This window comes from Homo sapiens, chromosome 4 (assembly GCF_000001405.40).
Source record: "Homo sapiens chromosome 4, GRCh38.p14 Primary Assembly".
In the NCBI taxonomy this organism is placed as follows: Eukaryota; Metazoa; Chordata; class Mammalia; order Primates; family Hominidae; genus Homo; species Homo sapiens.
This window is the reverse complement of record NC_000004.12, coordinates 17,668,541-17,689,589: the sequence shown is the minus strand read 5'-3', so window position 1 is coordinate 17,689,589 and position 21,049 is coordinate 17,668,541. Positions and strand designations below refer to the sequence as shown.

The following is a 21,049-nucleotide window of genomic DNA, read 5'->3' as shown; positions in this document are numbered from 1 at the left end:
GAGGTGCTCTTATTATTTTGTACATATCTCTACTGAGTGTCATTGGGGTTATAAACATTTATCTATCTCCCTCATAAAATGACAGCTCCTTAAAGGCAGGGACCAAGCTTTATGATTTTACTATCTTGCTCTCACTCTGTCCCTTCCCCATCCCTCCTTGTACCTAGCATGGTGCCTAACTAGTATTAAGGTTTCTAGAAAATTTTGAGGAAAGTCAAAGTTTCCTTTATGTTTTTTGGCCTCATTCTCCTCAAAGTCTAGGGGAAATCTGTCTGTTTAATTCAAATATTACAATTAGTTGGTTAATCATCATCATAATTAAGGCCTTACACTTTTAGAGCACCCCCAACCACTCTTTTCTCATTTTACCTATATAATTCTTAAATGTTGTTCATTTTCTTTACCAATTAACTTTTTTGTTTTGTTTTCAAAAGAAATTGAGTGGCCTTCCAGGAATGGTATTAAAGCCACCCTACAGATCGAGTATAGAAATATCTATGTAAATAATTTAAGGAAAGTGTGGAATACTATAAACCTACTGGGCACATTTTCTTCTGGAAAGACCAAGCAACTAGCTCATTAGAAATGGCATTTCTAGGCCGGGCACAGTGGCTTACGCCTATAATCCCAGCCCTTTTGGAGGCCGAGGCAGGCGGATCGCTTAAGGTCAGGAGTTTGAGACCAGGCTGGGCAACATGGTGAAACCCCGTTTCTACTAAAAATACAAAAAATTAGCTGGGCGTGGTGGTGCATACCTGTAGTCCCAGCTACTCAGGAGGCTGAGGCAGGAGAATCACTTGAACCCGGGAGGTGGAGGTTGCAGTAAGCCAAGATTGTGCCACTGCACTCCAGCCTGGGTGACAGAGCAAGACCCTGGATCAGAAAAAAAAAAAAAAAAAAAAAAAAAAAGGCATTTCTAGAAGTGTGTGTAGAATTTGTCTAATGGGGCACTCTCCCCAGAACAGACTGACCCAGGAGAATTGATTCCCGGATGAATGACTGTATCGAGGAGGTAGAACCTGGTTTCATTGTGTGGTGTTTCTTATCTCCTGTTTTAGGTTTTAAGGCTGGAAGAATTTATCCAACAAAATAAGACACGCCCCACAGGAGCTGAGGAAAGTCCCCAGGAATTAGGCCGCCAGCACTGCAGCATTCTGGAGACCCAGGTAACCTCCAGCTTTGTCAGATTTAATTAAAGATATTTCTTTTCTCGGTCTCAGCCTTTCAGTGTCCCCAGTAACACATGCTGATGTTAATGGGCTCTTTTACATCTCTCCTCGACACTGCCAAAATGCCCGGAAAAAAAAAAAATCACCACAAAATCCATTCACAGAAACCACGAAGGAAATAGAAGTCTGACTAATTATCTGCATGGTTTGAAAGAGAATAAGGCCTGTCAGATGAGTCTCCGCTCTCTCTCTGAGAGCAGCCTGCCTGGAGGATAAAGGGCGCACTCAACTCGAGCAGGGCCTTTGATTCTGCCCAGCACGAACCCCAGTAGTAGTCATAAAAGCCCCTCTCTTGCCCCGGCTGTCTGCCTCCACAGCCATGATCTCATTTACTCTCACAACAGCCCTTGTCCGTGAACCTGCCGTTTCAGGGACGCCGCTTGAGGGTAGAAACTGGTTCCTGTTTGTCTCTGTCTGGCTCACGGTGGGTTGGATTGTTCTCTAGGATCACCATAACGAATGACCATGTACTTGGTGGCTTCAGCCATGGAAATGTACTCTCTCACGGTTCTGGAGGCCAGAGGTCTGAAATCAAGGTGTTGGCTTATTTTGGAGGCTGCGAGTGAGAACCTGGTCTGTGCGGCTCCCCTCGCCTCTGGTGGTTGCTGGGCAGTCCTTTTGTTCCTTGGCCAAGTCTTCCTTGCAAACACGTCACTCCGATCTCTGCCTCTGTCATCACACGGCCTCTTTCCCCTTGTCTCTGAGTCTTTGTGCCTTCACACAGCCTTCTTATAAAGACACCAGTCACTGGCTTTAGGGCCCACTCTACTACAGCATGACCTCATCGTAACTAATTGCATCTGCAGAGATCCTATTTCCAAATAAGATCACATTCATAGGTACAGGGGCTTAAGACTTCAGCATATCTTCTTAGGGACACAGCCTAACCCACAAGATAGGCACTCAGTGAACATTTGTTGTACCATGTCAGCAATATAAATAATCTCCCTGAAGTGGGCGCTTGAGTACCCTGGCTTGAATAACCCTCTTAATTCCTGTTTCAGCAGCAAGAGAGCCATAAAAAACTCACGGCCTTCAATTTCACTTATTTGATTGTTGCCTACAATTTTCAGGCCATTTCAAACTCCAGGAGGGAAAACACTACATGGGTCAGTCTGAATCTTACCACATCAGTCTCACCAGTCTCTTGTTTACCCATTTCTGTGTACACGAGTGTCCTCAGGAACTGCAGTTTCTCTCCCATGACCCCCATCTTCCAGGGCTCAGGCCCCGGTCCTGCCAACAGCCCCCATGGCATACTCCTCTGAGATAACCCCCACTCAACCACATATTCACCAGGGCAAAAATGAGCCAAAATCTAGTGACTGTGGATTTAAATAATAATTAACATTTGTATGTGAACTGGTCAGTCATAGAGCACTGTTCTCATCTTTGACTTCACTGGAGTTTTTTTGTTTTTGAGACAGGGTCTTTCTCTGTTGCCCAGGCTGCAGTGCAGTGGTGCAGTCACAGCTCACGCAGCCTCAACCTCCTGGCCTTAAGTGATCCTCCCACCTCAGCCTCCCGAGTAGCTGGGACCTCATGTGCATGCCACCAGGCCCAGCTAATTTTTCTATTTTTTGTAGAAACAGTGTTTCACCATGTTAGCCAGGCTAGTCTCGAACTCCTGACCTCAGGTGATCCTCCTTTCTTGGCCTCCCAAAGGGCTGGGATTACAGGCATGAGCCAGCATGCTCAGCTTCATTGGAATTTTCCAACAACCCTGTAAGGCACCCATGTTATAGAAGAGAAAACTGAAGGTGAGGGCAGGTGACCTGCCCACAGTCACAGGCAGGTAAATAGCCAAAACAGGATGGAACTACTGGCTCTGATCCCCTCCTCTCTCCATAAGAGCAGCACATGCCCAGGATGCCTTCCAGATAAAACAGACTCCAGCTGTCATTGGGTTAAGGGGAGCAGCCAGGACTCCCTGGATTTCCTCCTTCCTCCTCTGACACCCAGATTAAGGGAGAATCCTTGAGCAGCCCTGTTGCCCCCATGTAAGCCTGGAGGACAAGCCTAAAGGAGCAGAGGCACCCTCATCCACAGGGCTTGCCCCTTCCTGATCTGAGGCTGTCCCTCTCCTTTCAGAAGATTTCTGCCTGAGGGATGTGCAGACATTTTCATTCTCCCTCAGTTTCTCAAGAATCAGTCTCATGAGCTAGCATTCCAGAGAACTTTTGGCCCCAGAGACAGCTGCACCTTTCACCAGCGCCCTGTGGGGTTTCCCAGAAAGGTTGTCCTGAGATACTCAAGTATTTCTTAGCTCCTCAAAGTGACTGTGGCAGGGAGATGGACCGGAGTTGGCTGGTATCCTTCTTGATGAGATTAAATCTGAAATAAGGTGGTAAGCTGGAGACTGAATAAAAAAATGCAGTTCAGGAAGATTGTAGAGCAGGCTGTGTTTTAGGGAAATAAACACATAGAAATTCTAGGTATGTTCCAGGGCTGATGACCTGAGTCTACCAGTCATGGTCACGATGTCCATGAGCCGGTGCTATCACCACAGCTCAACTTCAGCACTTGACTCTGGGGTTGGATAATTCTTTGTTTTGGCGGGGTGTGTGGAGCTATGCTGTGTGCTGCAGGATGTATAGCAGCATCCTTGGCCTTTACCCACGAGATGCCAGTAGTACCTTTCCAACCAAAAATGTCTCCAGGGGACAAAATTATCCCCAGTTGAGAACCACCTCTGTAGCTAAAAAAGCAAGTCCTGAAGAAGTCCAGAATACAAGTGCCTGTTGGGAACCATGGGTTGGTTCACCAGGAAACTCCTCAGTCTTTTTTTTTTTTTTTTTTTTTGAGACAGAGTCTCACTTTGTCACCCAGTGTCACCCAGGCTGGAGTGCAATGGCATGATCTCGGCTCACTGCAAACTCCACCTCCCGGGTTCAAGCGATTCTTCTGCCTCAGCCTCCCAAGTAGCTGGGACTATAGGCGCACACCACCACGCCCGACTAATTTTTGTATTTTTAGTAGAGATGAGGTTTCACCATATTGGTCAGGCTAGTCTCGAACTCCTGACCTCATGATCCGCCTGCCTCGGCCTCCCAAAGTGCTGGGATTACAGGTGTGAGCCAACCTGCCCAGCCCTCCTCAGCCTTCTTAATCTAGAATGTTGTCTTTCAATGAGTTCGGTTTCTTTTTTTTTTTTTTTTTTTTAAGTTCCAGGGTACATGTGCAGGATGAATAGGTTTGTTACAAAGGTAAACATGTGCCATGGTGGTTTGCTGTACCTATCAACCCATCACTTAGGTCTTAAGCCCAGCATGTATTAGATCTTTTCCCTAATGCTCTCCTCAACCCAACACCCTCCCTCAACAGGCCCCAGTGAGTGTTTTTCCCCCTCCCTGCATCCATGTGTTCTCATTGCTCAGCTCCCACTTATAAGTGAGAACATATGGTGTTTGGTTTTCTGTTCGTGTGTTAGTTTGCTGAGGATAATGGCTTCCAGCTTCATCCATGTCCCTGCAAAGGACATATCTCATTCCTTTTTATGGCTGCATAGTATTCCATGGTGGTGTATATGTACCACATTTTCTTTATTCAGTCTATCATTGATGGGCATTTGGGTTGATTTCATGTCTTTGCTGTTGTGAATAGTGAATGAGTTCGGTTTCTAGAGGGAAGTGCAGATGCCTCCTCTATAGAGTTGCAGCAAGAACCTCGACAAATATCAGTTTCATTTGATTCAACTCAATATGCACGTTATTCATTCATTCTGCAGTCATGTGTGCAATACCTGGCATGTGCCAGCCTCTGAGCTGGATGCTAGAGGGAGAAGTGTGCATAAACAAATAGCTGGAAAACAATGTGGACATTTAGTAACAGCTTAAATATCTGGTGCTGTTTTCTATTAGGCATTTTGCAGATATTGTTTGTTCTTTCAAATGCGGGCCTCTTTTCAAATAAGCAATCCACATATATGGTACAGAACTCAAATGGTATATAAAGGTATACATTGGAAAGCATCTTCCTTCTTCCTGCTGAGTTCCCTATCCCAGGAAAAACTACTTGTTGTGTTTTATTTTCTCTCTTCTTATGTATCCTTTCAGAGGTATAGTGTATATACAGGCATAATTATGGAGTTTTTTCTATAAATGATAGGATACTCTCATGAATAATAATAATAATAATAGTAATTATATTATTATTTTTTATATAACTATTTTATATATAATTATTTTATTTTATATTATATTTTATTATATAATTATTTTATATATAATTATTTTATATATAATTATTTTATACTATAATATAATAGTAATTACTATTATTATTATTATTCTTGAGACTGGGTCTTGTTCTGCTACCCAGGGTGGAGTGCAGTCCTGGCTCACTGCAATCCTCGATTTCCTGGGCTCAAGCAATCCTCCTGCCTAGACTCCTGAGTGGCTGGGACTACAGGTGCCCACGACCATGCCCAGCTAATTTTTGAATTTTTTGTAGAGACGAGCCTTCATCATGCTGTCCAGGCTGGTCTCAAACTCCTGGGCTCAAACCATCCACCCACCTCCACCTCCCAAAGTGCTGGGATTACAGACATGAACCACTGCGTCTGGCCAGTTCTGCTTTTCTTAACTTAAATTTTATAGCTTAGAGATTGTAATATATCAGTATACTTCCCTTTTAGCGTCATTTTTTTAAAAACAAACCAACCACCTAGTTCTCCCTTGTACAGAAAAACCATATTATATTTAACCATTCCCTTATGATTGACATTTAGATTGTTTTAATATTTCTCTATTATAGATAATACTTCAATGGATAGCACCATAGAGGGATATAATATAGTATAGTAGTTAAGCAAGCTCACCCCTGAACCAGACACCTGGGTTCTTACTGGCTGGATAATCTTGGACAAATAATTTAATGTCTCTTTGCTTCACCATTCTCATTTATACACCAAGGATAATGATAGTATCTACTCCAGAGGGTCTTTGTGAGGTCTAAATGAATTCCTATCTGTATGGTGTTGGAAACAGCACCTAGTGTGTGCAAATGCTCTCTAGGTGCTAACTCTTGCTCCCGTGGAATTTGCCGGGTGCAGTGGTGTGTGCGTGTTTAACTTCAATAGATACCATCACTTGCCACTCACTGAGGTTGTTCTGCTCTGTGCCCCCACCAGCAACACGTGTGCTTTGCTAACACAGCAAGTTACAAAACTTTCTGAACTTTGCCAATTAGAAAAAAAATGTAATGTAGTTCAAACAGTTTTGGCAAGCCAGCTCTGTGCCAGCCTGGTGAGCCGAAGCTCTGCCTAGGTCTAGATGAGGTGTGAGCAGCATACTTCAGTACTGCCATACCTGCAACCACACAGAATGGTACAAGGGGCAGAGGTAAAGCCAGGGAGGCCTAGGCAGGGGCTTGAACAATCTGGTGGCAGATCTGCTGGTGGCAATAGGGGCATCAGAACAGGATATTAAATGACAACTTCCCCAGTGATGTTCCTGCTGGATTGGGGCTATAAAATTTAAGTTTGTTCAAGACTCAGGGGTTTCAGTTTAGGCCAGTAGCTGTTCTGCAAAGCACTTCAGTGAGTCAAGAGAAATAAAAACAGTCCAGGCGCAGTGGCTCATGCTTATAATCCCAGCATTTCGAGAGACGGAGGCAGGTGGATCACTTGAGGCCAGGAGTTCAAGACCAGCCTGAGCAACATGGCAAAACCTCGTCTCTACTGAAAATACAAAAATTAGCTGGGCATGGTGGCACACGCCTGTAGTCCCAGCTGCATGGGAGACTGAGGCACGAGAACCGCTAGGACCTGGGAGGTAGAGGTTGCAGTGAGCCAAGACTGTGCCACTGTACTCCAGCCTGGGGAACAGAGTGAGACTGTCTCAAAAATAAATAAATAAATAAACAAACAATAAAAAGAAATCTAAAAGAGAGAGAGAGAGATAAAAATAATAATGTCAACTGAGATCAGGCTTTCCACTCCACTCCCAGAACATGCAGGGAGAAGGCTGCCAAACGTGGGTGTGACTCTGTCCCCACTAAACTTAGCTGGGACCTCACCAAGACTTTAATCCTGGTCTCTCCCTGCCAGTCTCCTTGATTCTCGTAGATTCAAAGTTTTACTAATTGGTTTCCAGAAAGCCATTTTAGTCATAATCATTCTGAGGGAAAATTTTTTTCCGGAAGATTCCTTTGGTGCCTGGGCCACACTGAACGGGCGGTGGAGAAGGGTGGAAGTTTTCATATATACACCTGCCCACGCCCTCTCCAGAAGGAAAAGGGAGTCATTTGTGGTAACTGCCATTTAAGTCATCTCGTCTCTATAAATATGTCTGAGTACCATCACTATACAAGCCATAGGGCTGCATGTCCAGGAGAATGAGGCCCAATCTTGATCCTTGGAGGGCTCACATTTCAAATGGGAGAAATAACTATTTCCTTAAATACTAACCTGTTACAATGACTGCTATGATGATGGCAAGAAGATATATTAATGGCAAGCCCATATGGGAGAGGAAGCTTTCTGTCCAGGGAAGTCCAGGAAACTATTCCAGAAGAATGACATCTGCGGACATCTGCTTGACACTGAAATCTGAACATGACTTCACCAGGAAATGGGATGCCATGGGGAAGCAGCCCAAGGCAAGCTCCTGAGGCATTTGGGAAGGATCCAGGGACACTCCAAAGCTCTCCAGGCCTGAAAGTGTCCCCTACTCCTTGGAGGCCCTGAGTGGTTTGCTGGGCAAGAGTCACCCCGTGCCATATTTTGGAGGACCATAGGAATTTGAGGCATCACCTGTCCTGGCCGTTGGCAGGCAGATAACCACTAGGCTCTTAAACAACTGTGACATCCTGAGTGTCCCTCAGGCCAATTGGGAGCCAGCACCCTTGGTTGGTGTGAATTGAAGGGTCTGGTTCCACCTGACATGGAACAAGGCAGGCTGCCCTTCACTCCATGGAGAGGTTCTGGGCATTGGCTGAGATGCAGTAGAGCCTGGGAAGACAGTGTAGGGCAGGGCCACCTGCCTAAGGCTTAGGACATGGGTTCCACCCAGCTCTGCCCAAGACCTCCTTAGGAGCCTCAGACAGGTCAGAAACCATCCCTGAGATCAGTTTCTTCATTACTCATAATGGCAAACCCATAGGACTTCACACAGTCCACAAACCACCCTATGAGACTCTTACAGAGAAACCAAGGCCCAAAGGGTGGTACCAGGGCCTGTGCTGTAAGCTGCAATGCTGCACTACTTCTTGTTAGTAAAACAGTGGCAATAATCCCTGCACTTCATACCCCCAGAGACTTGTGGTAATGAACAGGAGAAAGCATATGAAGTCACTTTTCAGAACTGTTAAAGATTCTGTCAATGTAAGTTGACTTTATAGTATCTATTACAGTCCCCTGTAATCATTTCAGCAAAACTCCATTACGTTCGGTGTTCTATTTTAAGATGTACATAATGCTACTTTTGAAAGATTGTCAAATGAACTTGAGAATGACTTTGAATATTCCCTTCTAGGAGATTTCCTGGGCGTGGGTGTTTCTTTAAAATAGAAATAATCCAGAAAAGGTTAAATAACTGGAAGATGAAAGATGAGGACCTAAATGTGAACACAGATTTAAAATAACCAGCCATTTGCCTGGGAGGAAGTGGGAGGAAGCATTTGCAGTAGATGGTTTGGAAAGGAGAAGCAGATCTATTTATTTTTCCGTGCACACTATTCATACCCAGGCCACTTTAGCACTGAGAGAGCACTGGACTGAATCTGAGAAAAACGCCTGATGGGAAAAACCCAAGAGTAGGAATTGGGTTGAACAACTCAGGATACACCAGGAGTGGCTCAGGGATATTCTCAGAAGCCATGTTCTGAGTCTGTTTTATTTAGAGTTCAGAGACATGGACAATGTTTTTGTTTTGTTTTGTTTATTTCAGTAGGGTTTTGGGGAACAGGTGGTGTCTGGTTACATGAAATAAGTTCTTTTTTCTGTTATATCATCATTATCATTGAACATGTGTTCAAATCTAGGCTTTTAAGGTTTTCACAAGAGAGAACTATTATATATTTAGTGCAACCAGGTACAAGACAGGCTCAAAAACAAACAAAACTGAAAAAGATCTGTGAAAAAGCTTTCAAAATAACAAAACTTAAATATAATTTTTAATGACATCAAAAACTATAATTTATCATGTGTGACATATTTTGAAATATCTATACATTGTGGAATGGCTCAATATAGCTAATTAACATATGTGTTACCTTATATGCTTGAATAAGTTCTTTAGTGCTGATTTCTGAGATGTTGGTGCACCCATCACCTGTGCAGTGTACACTGTACCCAGTGTGCAGTCTTTTACCCCTCACCCCCTTCTCACCCTTTGCCCCAAGTCCCCAAAGTCCACTGTATCATTCTTATGCTTTTGCATCCTCATAGCTTAGCCCCCACTTATAAGTGGGAACATACCATGTTTGGTTTTCCATTCCTGAGTTACTTCACTTAGAATAATGGTCTCCAATTCCATCCAAGTTGCTGCAAATGCCATTATTTTCTTCCTTTTTATGGCTGAGTAGTATTCCATGGTATGTATATATCACAATTTTTTTTTAACCACTCATTGACTGATGGGCATGTGGGCTGGTTCCATATTTTTGCAGTTGCAAATTTTGTTGCTATAAACATGCGTGTGCAAGTATCTTTTTTGTATAATGACTTATTTTCCTCAGGGTAGATACCCAGTAGTGGGATTGGGGGTAGTTCTATATAGAAAACAATATGGAGATTCCTTAAAGAACTTTACATACTGTTTTTCATAGTGGTTATACTAGTTTACATTTTCACCAGCACTGTAAAAATGTTCTCTTTTCACGACATCCATGTCAACATGTGTTCTTTTTTATTTTGTGACTATGGCCATTCCTGCAGAGTAAGGTGGTATCACAGGGTGGTTTTGATTTGCATTTCCGTGATCATTAGTGATGTTGAGCATTTTTTCATATGTTTGTTTACCATTTGTATATCTTCTTTTGAGAATTGTCTATTCATGTCCTTAGCCCACTTTTTGATGGGATTGTTTTATCTTGCTGATGTGAGTTATTTATAGATTCTGGATATTAGTCCTTTCTCAGATATATAGATTGCAAATATTTTATCCCACTCTGTAGGTTGTCTGTTTACTCTGCTGATTGTTTCTTTTGCTGTGCAGAGCTTTTTAGTTTAATGAAGTCCAATCTATTTATCTTTGTTTTTGTTGCATTTGCTTTTGTTTTCTTGGTCATGAACTCTTTGCCTAAGCCAATGTCTAGAAGAGTTTTCCCAATGTTATCTTCTAGAATTTTTATGGTTTTGGGTCTTAGATTTAAGTCTTTGAACCATCTTGAGTTGATTTTTGTATAAGGTGAGAGATTAGGATCCAGTTTCATTCTTCTACGTGTGGCTTGCCAATTATCCCAGCACCATTTGTTGAATAGGGTGTCCTTTCCCCACTTTATGTTTTTTGTTTTTTGCTTTGTCAAAGATCAGTTGGCTGTATTTGGCTTTAATTCTGGATTTTCTATTGTGTTCCATTGGCCTATGTGTCTGTTTTTATACCAGTACCATGCTGTTTTAGTGACTATGGCCTTATAGTATAGTTTGAAGTCAGGTAATGTGATGCCTCCAGATTTGTTCTTTTTGCTTAGCCTTGCTTTGGCTGTGTGGGTTCCTTTTTTTACCATATGAATTTTAGGTTTGTTTTTTCCTAGTTCTGGGAAGAATGATGGCAATATTTTGATGGGAATTGCATTGAATTTGCAGATTGCTTTTGGCAGTATGATCATTTTCACAATATTGATTCTACCCATTCCTGACTATGGGATGTGTTTCCATTTGTTTGTGTTGCCTATGATTTTTTTCAGCAGTGTTTTATAGTTTTCCTTGTAGTGGTCTTTCACCTCCTTGGTTAGGTATATTCCTAAGGTTTTTTTTGTTTGGTTGTTTTGCAGCTATTGTAAAAGGGGTTGAGTTCTTGATTTGATTCCCAGCTTGGTCGATGTTGGTGTATAGAAGAGCTACTGATTTGTATACATTAATTTTGTATCCTGAAACTTTGCTGAATTCATGTATCAGTTCTAGGAGCTTTTTGGAGGAGTCTTTAGGGTTTTCTAGGTATACGATCATATCATCAGCAAACAGTGATAGTTTGACTTCCTCTTTACTGATTTGGATGCCCTTTATTTCTTTCTCTTGTCTGATTGCTCTGGCTAGGACTTCCAATACTATGTTGAATAGAAGTGGTGAGAGTGGGCAACCTTGTTTTGTTCCAGTTCTTAGGGGGAATGCTTTCCACTTTTCCCCGTTCAGTAGAATGTGGGCTGCAAGTTTGCCATAGATGGCTTTTATTACATTAAGTTATGTTCCTTCTATACCGATTTTGCTGAGGGTTTTAACCATAAAGGGATGCTGGATTTTGTCAGATGCTTTTTCTGCATCTATTGAGATGATCATGTGATTTTTTTGTTTTAATTGTTTATGTGGTATATCACATTTATTGACTTGCATATGTTAAACCATCCCCGCATCCCTGGTATGAAACCCACTTGATCATGGTGGATTATTTTTTTGATATGCTGTTGGATTTCGTTAGCTAGTATTTTGTTAAGGATTTTTGCATCTATGTTCATTAGGGATATTGGTTTGTAGTTTCCTTTTTTTGTTATGTCCTTTCCTGATTTTGGTATTAGGGTGATATTGGCTTCATAGAATGATTTATGGAGGGTTCCCTCTTTCTCTATCTTGTAGATTAGTGTCAATAGGATTAATATGATTCTTCTTTGAATGTCTGATAGAATTCAGCTGTGAATCCATCTGTCCTTGACTTTTTTTGGCAATTTTTTTACCATTTCAGTCTTGCTGCTTGTTATTGGCCTGTTCAGAGTTTCTATTTCTTCCTGGTTTAATCTAGAAGAGTTGTATATTTCCAGGAATTTATCCTTCTCCTCTAGGTTTTCTAGTTTATGCATGTAAAGGTGTTCATAATAGCAATTGAAACAAGTATTGCTGGGCTTGAAAGAGCTCATTCAGGCTGGGTGCAGTGGCTTACGCCTGTAATCCTAACACTTTGGGAGGTCAATGTGGGCAGATCACTTGAGGTCAGGAGTTTGAGACTAGCCTGGGCAACACGGCAAAACCCCATCTCTACAAAAAATACAAAAATTAGAAGGGCGTGGTGGTGTGTACCTGTAGTCCCAGCTACTTGGGAGGCTGAGGTGGGAAGATAGCTTGAGCCCAGGAGGCAGAGGTTGCAGTTAGCTGAGATTGTGCCACTGTACTCCAGCCTGGGCAACAGAGCCACAGACCTTATCTAAAAAAAAAGTACTCATTCAGCCAACTATTTATTGATCCCCACGGTCAAGTTCAATTGTGATATACAGTTGTGTGTCACTTAATGACGATGATACATTCTGAGAAATGGGTTGTTAGGTGATTTTGTCATTGTGAGAACATTATAGAGTGTACTTACACAAACCTAGATTGTGTAGCCCACTATACACCTTGGCTATATGCTATAGCTTTTTGCTGTTAGGCTACAAGCCTGTACAGCATATTACTGTACTGTACAAAATATATGGGCAGTTGTAACACAAGGGTAAATATTTATGTATCCTAAAGTAGCTAAACATAGAAAAGATAATGTTTAACACTACATCTTTACAATGGCTATGTCATCATTAGGCAATAGGAATTTTTCAGCTCCATTATGAAGGCATACCTCGGAGATACTGCAAATTCAGTTCTAGACCACCACAATAAAGTAAATATTGAATAAAGCAAGTCACACAAATTTATTGGTTTCCCAATACATGTAAAAGTTATGTTTACACTATACTACAGTCTATTAAGTGTGTAATAGCATTATCTATAAAAATATGTGTACCTTAATTAAAAAATACACTTCGTGTCTCTGTGTCACATTTTGGTAATTCTCACAATATTTCAAAATTTGTTATTCTTATTATATCTGATAAGGTGATCTGTGATCAGTGATCTTTCATGTTGCTATTGTAATTGTTTTGGGGCACCACAAACCATGCCCGTAGAAGATGGTGAACTTAATAAATGTTGTATGTGTTCTGGTTGTGTTCCAGAACCAGCTGTTCCCGTCTTTCCCTCTCTATCCTTGGACCTCCCTATTCGCTGAAACACAACAATATTGCAGTTAGGCCAATTAACAATACTAGAATGGCCTCTAAGTGTTCATGTGAAAAGAAGAGTTGCATATCTCATGTTAAATCAAAAACTAGAAATGATTAAGCGTAGCAAGGAAGGCATGTCAAAAACTTTGAGACAGGCCTAAGCTAGGCATCTTGTGCTGAACAGTTAGCCAAGTTGTGAATGCAAAGGAAAAGTTATTGAAAGAAATGAATAGTGCTACTCCAGTGACACATGAGTAATAAGAAAGCAAAACAAACCTACTGCTGATATGGAGAAAGTTTTAGTTGTCTAGATAGAAGATCAAACCAGCCACAACATTCCCTTAACCTAAAGCCTAATCCAGAGCCAGGCCCTAATTCTCTTCAATTCTATGAAGCCAGAGAGAGTCAAGGAAGCTGCAGAAGAAAAGTTGGAAGCTAGCAGAGGTTGTTTCATGAGGTTTAAGGAAACAAGCCATCTCTATAACATAACAAGCAGCAAGCGCTGATGGAGAAGCTGCAGCAAGTTATCCAGAAGATCTAGCTAAGATCATTGATGAAAACGGCTAACTTAAACAACAGATTTTCAATGTAGACAAAACAGCCTTATATTAGAAGATGCCATCTAGGACTTTCACAGCTAGAGAGTAAAAGTCAATGCCTGGCTCCAACGCTTCAAAGGACAGGCTGACTCTCTCGTTAGGAGATAATAAAGCTAGTGACTTTAAGTTAAAGCCAATGACCATTTATCATTTCAAAATTTCTAGAGGCCTTAAGAATTGTGTGAAGTCTACTCTACTTGTGCTTTATAAGTAGAGCAATAAAGCCTGTATGATAGCACATCTGTTTTTTCAAGCCCAGTGTTGAGACTTACTGCTCAGAAAAAAGAGATTCCTTTTAAAATATTATTGCTTACTGACCACCTGGTCACCCAAGAGCACTGATGAAGAGGTACAAGGAGAGTAATGTTGTTTTCATGCCTGCTGACACAATACTCATTCTGTAGCTCATAGATCAAGGAATAATTTCTCCTTTGAAGTCTTATTATTTAGGAAGTAGATTTCTTGGCACAATAAGGGTGAAAAGAAAAGAAATACATTTCATTTCATAAGGTTATAGCTGCCATAGATAGTGGTTCTCCTGATGGATCTGGGCAAAGCCCATTGAAAACCTTCTGGAAAGCATTCACCATTCTAGAAACCATTAAGAATATTCATGATTCATGATTTATGGGAGGAGATAAAAAACAACAATAAGAGTTTGAAAGAAATTGATTCCAACCCTCATGGATGACTTGGAGGGGTTCAAGATTTCAGATGAGGAAGTAACTATGTAGAGACAGAGAACTAGAATGAAATGTAAAGCCTGATGATGTGACTGAATTGCTGCAATCTCATGATAGAACTTCAATGGATGAGGAGTTGCTTCTTAGAAATGATCAAAGAAAGTGGTCTCTTCAGTTGAAATTTACTCCTGATGAGACTTCTGTGAGCATTGTTAAAATAACAAGAAAGGATTTAGAATATTACATGAACTTAGTTAATAGATCAGTGACAGTTTGAGAGGATTGCCTCCAATTTTTAAAGACGTTCTACTGTGAGCAAAATGGTATCAAACAGTATCGTATGCTACAGAGAAATCTCTTGTGAAAGACAGAGTCAAGCGATGTGGCAAACTTCATTGTTATCTTATTTTGAGAAATTGCCACAGCTGCCCCAGCCTTCAGCAATGACCATTCTGATCAGTCAGCAGCCATCAACATTGAGCAAGACCTTTCACAGCAAAAAGATTACAATACACTGAAGGCTCAGGTGATTGTTAACATTTTTTAGAAAAATAGTATTTTTAAATTTAGGTATGTATTTTTAGACATAAGATTATTGCACACTTAATAAACTATAGTATAGTGTAAACATAACTTTTATGTGTATAGGGAAACAAAAAAAGTTGTGTGTCTTTGCTTTATCACAATATTTGCTTTATTGTGGTAGTCTGGAACTGAACCTACAATATCTCTGAGGTATGCTTGTAATTATTAATACTTTTGTCTTTTAACTTTTATGCTAGAATTAAAAGTGATTTGCACACTACTATTACAGTAATTTAGTTCTATATTTGCCTATATATTTACCTTTTCTAATGAGTTTCATACTTTTAGGCTACCCTGTTGCTGTTTAGCATCCTTTCATTTCAACTTGAAGAAATTCCTTTAGCATTTCTTGTAAGGCAGGTCTAGTGATGAAGAACTCCCTCCACTTTTGTTTGTCTGGGAAAATCTTTCATTTATTTTTGTTTGTTGTTGTTGTTTTAAATTTTTTTTTATTTCCATAGGTTATTGGTGAACAGGTGGTGTTTGGTTACATGAGTAAGTTCTTTAGCAGTGATTTATGAGATTTGGTACACCGATCACCTGAGCAATATACACTGCACTCAGTTTGTAGTCTTTTATCCCTTACCCCCTTCCCAACCTTTCCTCCTGAATCTCCAAAGTCCATTGTGTCCTTCTTATGCCTTTGCATCATCATAACTTAGCTCCCACTTATGAATGAGAACATATGATGTTTGGTTTTCCAATTCCTGAGTTATTTCACTTAGAATAATATCTCCAATCTCATCCAGGTCACTGTGAATGCCATTAATTCATCCTTTCTATGGCTGAGTAATATTCCATTGTATATATATACCACAGTTTCTTTATCTGCTCGTTGATTGATGAGCATTTGGGTTGGTTCCACATTTTTGTGATTGCGAACTGTGCTGCTATAAACATGCCTGTGCAAGTACCCTTTTCATATAATGACTTCTTTTCCTCAGGGTAGATACCCAGTAGTGGGATTGCTGGATCAAACGGTAGTTCCTAGTTTTAGTTCCTTAAGGAATCTCCACACTGTTTTCCATAATGGTTGTACTAGTTTACATTCCCACCAGCAGGGTAGAAGTGTTCCCTGTTCATTGCATCTATACCAATATCTATTTTTTTAATGGCCATTCTTGCAGGAATAAGGTGGTATCACGTTGTGGTTTTGATTAGCATTTCCCTGATAATTAGTGATTTTGAGCTTTTTTTCATAGGTTTGTTGGCCACTTGTATATCTTCTTTTGAGAATTGTCTATTCATGTCCTTAGCCCACTTTTTGGTGGGATTGTTTGTTTTTTTCTTGCTAATTTGTTCGAGTTCATTATAGATTCTGAATATTAGTCCTTTGTCAGATGTATAGATTGTGAAGATTTTCTCCCATTCTGTGGGTTGTCTGTTTACTCTGCTGACTGTTCCTTATTGGTACCAACCCTATTGACACTATGCTGCAAGATAGAGGAAGAGGGAGCCCTCCCTAAATCATTCTATGAAGGCAGTATCACCCTAATGCCAAAACCAGGAAAGGACATAACAAAAAAAGAAAACTAAAGACCAATATCTTTGTTGAACATAGATGCTAAAAATCCTTAACAAAATACTAGTTAACCAAATCCAACAACATATCAAAAAGATGATTCGCCATGATCAAGTGGGTTTCATACCAGGGGTGCAGGGATGGTTTAACCTATGCAAGTAAATAAATGTGATACACCACATAAACAGAATTAAAACCAAAAATCACATGATCATCTCAATAGATACAGAAAAAACATTTGATAAAATCCAGCATCCCTTTATGATTAAAACTCTCAGCAAAATTGGTATACAAAGGACATACCTCAATGCGATAAAAGCCATCTATGACAAACCCACATTCTACTGAATGGAAAAAATTCAGTAGAATGGGAAAAAGTTGAAAGTATTCCCTCTGAGAACTAGAACAAGACAAGAAAGCCCACTATCATCACTCTTCATCAACGTAGTACTAGAAGTCCTAACCAGAGCAATCAGATAAGAGAAAGAAATAAAGGGCATCCAAATCAGTCAAGAGGAAGTCAAACTTTCTTTTATTTTTGAAGGAGGGTTTTCCCAGGTATAGTATTCTTAGTTGGCATTTTTTTTAGCACTTTGAATGTATCATCCCATTCCCTTCTGGCCTGCAAGTTTTCTGCTGGAAAATGTTCATTGTCTTATGAGGGGGTTCTCTTATATGTGACAAATAGCTTTTCTCTTGCTGCTTTCAAAATTTTGTGTCTTTGACCTTTGACAATTTGATTATCTGTCTCAGTATGGTTCTTTGGGTTCATCTTATCTGATGTATTTAGGGCTTCTTGGATCTGCATGCTTATTTCCTTTTCCAGATTTGGGAACTTCTTAGTCATTATCTTTAAATAAGCCTTCTTGTCCTTTCTCTCTTCTTTTTTCTTTTTGCATCTTTGACTGAATTATTTCCAGTGACCTGTCTTTGAGTTCACTAATCCTTTCTTCTGCTTGATATAGTTTTCTATTAAATTCCTCTAGTGAATTTTCATTTCAGTTATTGTGTTATTGTGTTTTCAGGTCCATGATTTCTTCTGGTACTTTAAAAATATATCCTCTCTGTTGAAATTCTCACTTTGTTCATTCATTATTCTCTTTATCTTGGTAAGCAACTCTATCAGAGTTATTTTTATTCTCCGTCAGGTAAATCATATAACTATTTCATTAGGGTCAATTTATGGAGATTTATCTTGTTCTTTTGTTTGGAACATCTTTGCCTGATTTTTATTCTCTTTGACTCTCTGTGTTGGTGTCCATGCATTAGACAAAGCAATCACCTCTCCCAGTCTTCCCAGGCTGATCTTGTACAAGAGAATCCCCCATTAATGAGCCTGGCCAGGTAATGGGGGTCTCTACCAACTCATTTCCTCCCAGTAAGAAGCAGGAAGCTGTGGTTTTCATTTGCTCACTCTGCACTGAGCCAAGGAGGAGCTATGGTATCTACCAGCCCAAGTTTCCACCTCCATTCTCTTCCAAGTGGCTAGACTGTGATGGACCCTATAGAGCTCCAACAGCAGCAAGACAAAAGCTAGCCCTCTAGGGACATCCCCCTTAGAAAACTTGGGGTGCTAGACATGCCAATTAACTCCTTTCCTCCTCTGGTTGAAGCTGGTGTAGGGGGTCTCTTCATGATCATATGGTACTTCACCAGGGGCAGCATCTTTGGCAAGAGTGTGTTCTGAATCTCCCTACCAGCTTTAGTGAGTCTGGTTTTGCATTCTCCTGGGGTGCAGGAGCCTTTTGATTAGTTTCTGATTTTTTACAAAGGGAATATGTACATGAACTATTGCTGAATTGATATGCTTATTGGGGAAAAAAGGGATCAGGACTTCCTTCTACCATGTTGCTGACATTACTCCTCTCAGTTTGATTTTTGAGTTGCAGTTTTTCAGATACTTGGTATTTGCACAACATGGTTTGAACTCACATCCAGTTAGGCCTTGATGCTGGTAGGTGACAATCAGGTTAACACAGCACAGCTGAGTGTCAGTGCAGTGATATGGAATTACGTGGATGGGAGTCAGAAAATACAGGGTTCTAGATTTTGTGCCACCCTCCAGTGGCCATGAGACCTGAGGCAAATGGCTGGACTTCTCCAATTTAATTCCCCATCTGTAAATCAAAGATGGCAGTGCCTTTCCTGGCTACTTCATAGAGCCATATGCATCCATGAGATAATGTATAGAAATAGACAAATGCAGTGTAGCTGGGAGCCAGTGTTGTTATCTGGGTGCATCAGCCCTTTTAGTGTTTTCAGTCCTCTCCCCTTTCTGGACTCCTGCCCAGGACTCCTTTAAATATAGCCATGGTCAATAAAGTGGCCCAGAAATTACATCCTGCAGATTCCCTTTCACAGGCTCTGTGTTGTCTCAGAGTACATTTGGAATTCTTTTTAATCTCTAATAACTGTCATGAGATCCTTGTCCATTATTCATGTTGCTTTAAGTTTTTTCTCCCCTTTTCCCTGATCAGGCTTGCCAGAAGTTTGATGTATCTTTTCAAAAGCCAGCTTTTAGATGTGTTGGTCAGATGTGTTTTTTCTATTTCATTTGTTTTGTCTTTTATTTCTCTTTTCTTCTACTTACTTTGGATTTATTCTTTTGTTCATTTTCTAAATTCTTGAATGTTTTCTAATGAATACATTTAAATACAAATGAATACATTTAAAGCTATAAATTTCCGTCTAAGTGTATGTCTTATCTGTGTCCCAGAGTTTTAAAGTTTATCTGATTCTTTTAAACCTACCTTCTTATTGCTTTCTAATGTTCTTGCAATGTCATCAGATAGCACAGTCTGTAAAATGTGAGCACTGGGTTGAGATTTGCTTTGTAAACCAATTCAGGGTCAATTTTAAATAGTTCCTATAGATAGGAAAAAAAGCATATATTCTTGATGTGGTAGTAAAACATGTATGTTTGAATCCTGGCTCTGGGATATATTCACTATATGACCTCACATAAATGTTAGTAGGTATTGGTTTATTTTTTTAGCTATTAGGTTTAGCTTGCTGATCTTGTTCGAATCTTCCTCATCCTAGCTCATTTTGTCTGCTTAATCCATCAGTTTCTGGGAGATGTATATTAAAATCTCCCATTATATATTTTCCCATTTCTCACTACAGATATGCACATTTTGCCTTATGTTTTCAGGCTCTATCGTTAGAGGGCTATAGCTTCATTATTATAGCATTTCAGTGAACAATTCCTTTTATCAGAAGAGCTCTCCATGTAGAACTTAGCCAGTTCACGTTTGTCCTAGCTACTGGTCTTATTAGAATTGTTTTGCCAACATATTTTGTGCTTTCTATTGAACAAAATTTCTTTGTAACCTTGAATTTTCCTTTTGAGACCTGGACCTAATTAATCATACATCATTTATGTATTTATATTGTAATAGTACATATGCTCATCTGATTATCTATTTTTCTTCCATGTTCACCATGCAATTTCCCCAGGTTTATACAGAACCTGAATTTATGGCAGGTAACTCACAAAGCTATTTTGCTTCTAGACTATGTTATTTGCTGCTGGGCTTTGTGGGAATTAAAGATCTCTGAGATTTTTTTTATGCCCAAAATACCTGAAACTAGGAGGCACAGGAGGACCTTTTAGCCTCTGGTTCACATGTAGGTTATAATCTGCTTAGTCACAACATGTTTGAAAATACACAACAATGAACCAACCTCACTGGGCCCTGTGACCAGTTCATGTCAAACAGCTCAACTTTAGTTTCTAGTTACATAGAGTAAAGAGGGAGGACTCAGGCTATGAAAAATAGCTGTGCAGCGTGTTCTCAGTCCCTGGCTGTAGGGTTTATAACATTTTAAAAACTATATCTGGGATTACTTTTACATTCACTTATGTTTTGGAAGGGAGAAAGAAAATGCTCCTATAACAGTACAAGGCAGAAAAACTTTTGTTGTTTTGTTTATTCTTGTGTTCCTAGAACAATGCCTGGCACATAGTAAGTGATCAATAAGTATTTGTAAGAAAATTGTGGTAGCAAGGCCAGGTGCGGTGGCTCATGCCTGTAATCCCAGCACTTTGGGAGGCCAAGGCAGGTGGATCACTTGAGGTCAGGAGTTCAAGACCAGCCTGGCCAACACAGTAAAACCCCATCTCTACTCAAAAAAATAAAAAAATTAGCCGGGCGTGTTGTCACACGCCTGTAGTCCCAGCTACTTGGGAGGCTGAGGCAGGAGACTCACTTGAACACAGGAGGTGGAAGTTGCAGTGAGCCTAGATCACACCACTGCACTCCAGCCTGGATGACAGAGCAAGACTCCGTCTCAAAAACAAAA

The 21,049-nt window shown here is 40.4% G+C and overlaps 1 protein-coding gene across 2 annotated transcripts in view; it reads left to right on the top strand.

Moving 5' to 3' along the window:
• The window catches only part of FAM184B (family with sequence similarity 184 member B), a 152,316-nt gene that overhangs the window by 92,032 nt on the left and 39,235 nt on the right, over window positions 1–21,049 (top strand). For both annotated transcript variants that reach the window (NM_015688.2, XM_047450066.1), the window contains exon 7: window positions 1,059–1,166. In NM_015688.2, the coding sequence (NP_056503.1) occupies window positions 1,059–1,166 (108 nt within the window). The remainder of the gene's footprint in view (window positions 1–1,058; window positions 1,167–21,049) is intronic.